The sequence below is a fragment of the Homo sapiens genome, chromosome 12 (genome assembly GCF_000001405.40).
Source record: "Homo sapiens chromosome 12, GRCh38.p14 Primary Assembly".
In the NCBI taxonomy this organism is placed as follows: Eukaryota; Metazoa; Chordata; class Mammalia; order Primates; family Hominidae; genus Homo; species Homo sapiens.
In genome coordinates this window covers 37,703,927-37,709,088 of record NC_000012.12, presented here as the reverse complement: position 1 = coordinate 37,709,088, position 5,162 = coordinate 37,703,927, and positions in this window count along the sequence as shown.

Here is a 5,162-nt window from a genome sequence, read left to right as displayed (position 1 = left end):
GTCCTCGAAGGCCTATGGTGAAGTAGGAAATATCTCCACATAAAAGCTAGACAGAAGCATTCTGAGAAACTTCTTTGTGACACCTGCATTCATCTCACAGAGTTGAACCTTTCTATTGATTGAGCAGTTTGGAAACAATCTTTTTGTAGAATCAGCAAAGGTATATTTCTGAGCTGTTTAAGGCCAATGGTGAAAATGAATAATCTTCACATAAAAACTAGTCAGAAGCATTCTGAGAAACGTTTTGTGATTTGTCCATTCATCTCACAGAGTTGAATCTTTCTTTTGATTGAGCTGTTTGGACACAATATTTTCTTAGAATCTGCAGAGGGATATTTGTGAGCCCTTTATGGCCCATAGTGAAACAGGAAATATCTTCACATAAAAACTAGACAGAAGCTTTCTGAGAAACATCTTTGTGACGTGTGCTTTCATCTCACTGAGTTGAACCTCTCTTTAGTTTGAGTAGTTTGGAAACAGGCCTTTTGTAGTGTCTGCAAATGGATATTTGGAGCGCTTTGAGGCCTAGGGTGAAAAAGGAAATATCTTCACATGAAAACTAGACTGAAGAATTCTGAGAAACTTCTTTGTGATGTGTGCATTCATCTCACAGAGTTGAACCTTCTTTTGATTGAGTAGTTTGGAAAGAGTCCTTTTGTACAATCTGCAAAGGGATATTTCTGAGCCCTTTATGGCCTATGGTGAAATAGGAAATATCTTCACAGAAAAACTAGACAGAAGTTTCTGGGAAACTACTTTGTGATGTAGGCTTTCATCTCACAGAGTTGAAATTTTCCTTTGGTTGAGCAGTTTGGAAACACTCTTTTTGTAGAATCTGCAAATGGACATTTGGAGTGCTTTGAGGCCTACGGTGAAAAAGGAAATATCTTCACGTAAAAACTAGACAGAAGCATTCTGAGAAACTTCATTGTGTTGTGTGCATTCATCTCACAGAGTTGAACTTTTCTTTTGATGGAGCAGTTTGGAAACAGTCTTTTTCAAGTATCTGCGGAGGGATATTAGTGACCAGTTTAAGGCCTATGGTGAAAAAGGAAATATCTTCACAAAAAAACTAGAAAGAAGCATTCTGAGAAACTTCTTTGTGATGTGTGTATTCATCATGCAGAGTTGAACTTTCTTTTGATTGAGCAGTTTGGAAACACTCATTTGGTAGATTCTGCAAATTGACATTTGGAGTGCATTGAGGACTATGGTGAAAAAGGAAATATCTTCACATAAAAACTAGATGGAAGCATTCTGTGAAACTTCTTTGTGATGTATGCTTTCGTCTCACAGAGTTGAACCTTTCTTTTGATTGAGCAGTTTGGAAAAAGTGTTTTTGTACAATCTACAAAGGGATATTTCTGAACCATTTGAGGCCTATGGTGAAAAAGAAAGATCTTCACATAAAAACTAGACAGAAGCATTCTGAGAAACTTCGTTGTAATGTGTGCATTCATCTTACAAAGTTGAACACTTCTTTTTATTGAACAGTTTGCAGATATTTTTTGTAGAATCTGTAAAGGGATAATTTTGAGCCCTTTATGGCCTATGGTGAAATAGGAAGTGCCTTCACATAAAAAACTAGACAGCATCATTCTGAGAAACTTCTTTGTGATGTGTGCTTTCATCTCACAGAGCTGAACCACTCTTTTGTTTGAACAGTATCAAAATAGTCTTATTCTAGAATATTCAAAGGGAAATTTGGACCGCTTTTTGGCCTATAGTGAAAAAGGAAATATCTTCACATTAAAAGTAGACATAAGAATTCTGAATTCTGAGAAACTTATTTGTGATGCATGCATTCGTCTCATAGATTTGAACCTTCCTTTTGATTGAACAGTTTGGAAACAGTCCTTTTGAAGAATCTGCAAAGTGATATTTTTGAGCCATTGAGGCCTATGGTGAAATAGAAAATATCTTCACATAAAAACTAGACAGAAGCCTTCTGAGAAACTACTTTGTGATGTGTGCTTTCATCTCACAGAGTTGAACCTTTCTTTTGATTGAGCAGTTTCAAAACAGTATTTTGTACAATCTGCAAACAGTTATTTCAGAGCCTTTGGAGGCCTATGCTGAAAAAGAAATATCTTCACATAAAAACCAGACTGAATCATTCTCAGAAACTTCTTTGTGATGTGTCCATTCATCTCACAGAGTTGAACTTTTCTTTTAATTGAGCAGTTTGGAAACAGTCTTTTTGTAGAATCTGCAGAGGGATACTTGTCAGACCTTCATGGCCTAAGGTGAAATAGGAAATGTCTTCACATAAAAACTATGCAGAAGCCTTCTGAGAAACTTCTTTGTGATGTATGCTTTCATGTCATGGAGTTGAAAGATTCTTTCGATTGAGCAGTTTGGAAACAGTCTTTTTTGTAGAACATGAAAATGGATATTTGGAGTGCCTTGTGGCCTATTCTGGAAAAAGAAATATCTTCACATAAAGACTAAACAGAAGCATTCTGAGAAATTTCTTTGTGATGTGTGCATTCATCTCACAGAGTTGAACCTTTCTGTTCATGGAGCAGTTTGAAGATAGTATTTTGTAGTATCTGCAGAGAGATATTTGTGAGCCGTTTAAGGCCTTTGGTGAAAAAGGAAATGTCTTCACATAAAAAGTCGACAGAAGCATTTTGAGAAACTTCTTTGTGATGTGTTCATTCATCTCACAGTGTTAAAAATTTCCTTTGATTGAGCAGTTTGCAAGCACTCTTTCTGTAGAATCTGCAAATGGATATTTAGAGAACTTCGAGGCCTACGTTAGGAAATGAAATATCTTCATATAAAAACTAAACAGAAGCTTTCTGAGAAACTTTTTGTGATATGTGCATTCACCTCACAGAGTTGAAACTTTCCTTTTATTGAGCAGTTTGGGAACTGTCTTTTTGTAGAATCTGCAAATGGATATTCGGAGCACTTTGGGGCCTATGTTGAAAAAGGAAATATCTTCACTTAAAAACTAGACAGAAGCATTCTGAGAAACTTCTTTGTGATGTGTGCATTCATCTCACAGATTTGAACATTTCTTTTGACTGAACAGTTGGGAAACAGTCCTTTTGTAGAATATTGAATGGGATATATTTGAGCCCTTTTAGGCCTATGGTGAAATAGGAAATATCTTCACATAAAAGCTAGACAGAAGGTTTCTAAGAAACATTTTTGTGTTGTGTGCTTTCATCTCACAGAGTTGAAGCTTTCCTTTGATGGAGTAGTTTGGAGACCGTATTTTCATAGTATCTGCAGAGGGATACTTCTGAGCCCTTTATGCCCTATGGTGAAATAGGATATATCTTCACTTAAAAACTAGACAGAAGCTTTCTGAGAAACTTCTTTGGGTTTCCTGTTTTCATCTCACAGAGTTCAAACTTTCTTTTGATTGAGCAGTTTGGAAACGGTCTTTTTCTAGTATCTGCAAAGGGATATTAGTGAGCAGTTTGAGGCCTATGGTGAAACAGGAAATATCTCCACATAAAAACTAGACAGAAGCTTTTTAAAAAACTTCTTTGGGAAGTTTGCATTCATCTCACAGAGTTGACCGTTTCTTTTCATTGAGCAGTTTGGAAACAGTGCTTCTTGTACAATCTGCAAAGGGATATTTCTGAGCGGTTTAAGGCATATGGTGAAAAAGGAAATATCTTCACTTAAAAACTAGGCAAAAACATTCTAAGAAACTTCTTTGTGATGTGTGCATTCATCTCATAGAGATGAATAAGTCTTTTGATTGAGCAGTTTAGAAACAGACATTTGGTAGAATCTGCAAAGGGATACTTGTGAGTCCTTTGTGGCCTCGGGTGAAATAAGAAATATCTTCACATAAAAACTAGACAGAAGCATTCTGAGAAACTTCTTTGTGATGTGTGCTGTCATTTCACAGAGTTGAAACTTTCTTTTGATTGAGCAGTTTGGAAAGAGTCCTTTTGTAGAATCTGCAAAGGGATATTTGTGAGCCCTTTATGGCCTATGGTGAAATAGGAAATATCTTCACATAAAAACTACACAGAAATTTCTGAGAAACTACTTTGTGATGTAGACTTTCATTTCACAGTGTTGAACCTTTCTTTTGATTGAGCAGTTTGGAAACAGTCTTTTTGTAGAATCTGTAAATGGATATTTGGAGCGCATTGTGGCCTATGGTGAAAAAGGAAATATCTTCACGTAAAAACTAGGCAGAAACATTCTGAGAAACTTCTTTGTAATGCCTGCATTCATCTCACAGAGTTGAACCTTTCTTTTGAGTGAGCAGTTTGGAAACAGTCTTTTTGTACAATCTGCAAAGGGATATTTCTGAAACGTTTGAGGCCTATGGTGAGAAAGAAAGATCTTGACAAAAAAACTAGACAGAAGCATTCTGAGAAACTTCACTGTGATTTGTGCTTTCATCTCACAGAGTTGAACAATTCTTTTTATTGAACAGTTTGCAAAGAGTTTTTTGTAGAATCTGCAAAGGGATAATTTTGAGCCCTTTATGGCCTATGGTCAAATAGGAAATGTCTTCACATAAAAACTAGACAGAATCATTCTGAGAAACTTTTTCGTGATGTGTGCTTTCATGTCACAGAGCTGAACCAGTCTTTTGTTTGAACAGTATGCAAATAGTCTTTTTCTAGAATCTGCAAATGGATATTTGGAGCACTTTGAGGCCTATAGTGAAAAAGGAAATATCTTCACGTAAAAACTAGACAGAGGAATTCTGAGAAACTTCTTTGTGATGCCTGCATTCATCTCACAGAGTTGAACGTTTCTTTTGATTGAACAGTTTGGAAACCGTCCTTGTGTAGAATCTGCAAAGGGATATTTGTGAGCCAATTGAGGCCAATTGTGAAATAGAAAATATCTTCACATAACAACTAGATAGAAGCTTTCTGAGAAACTTCTTTGTGCTGTGTGCTTTCATCTCACAGAGTTGAGACTTTCTTTTGATTGAGCAGTTTTGAAACAGTCTTCTGTACAATCTGTAAGGGATATTTCTGAGCCTTTTGAGGCCTACAGTGAAAAAGAATTATCTTCACATAAAAACTAGACCAAAGCATTCTGAGAAACTTCTTTGTGATGTGTCCATTCATCTCACAGAGTTGAACCTTTCTTTTGATTGAGCAGTTTGGAAACAGTCTTTTCATAGTATCTGCAGAGGGATATTTGTCAGCCCTTTATGGCCTAAGATG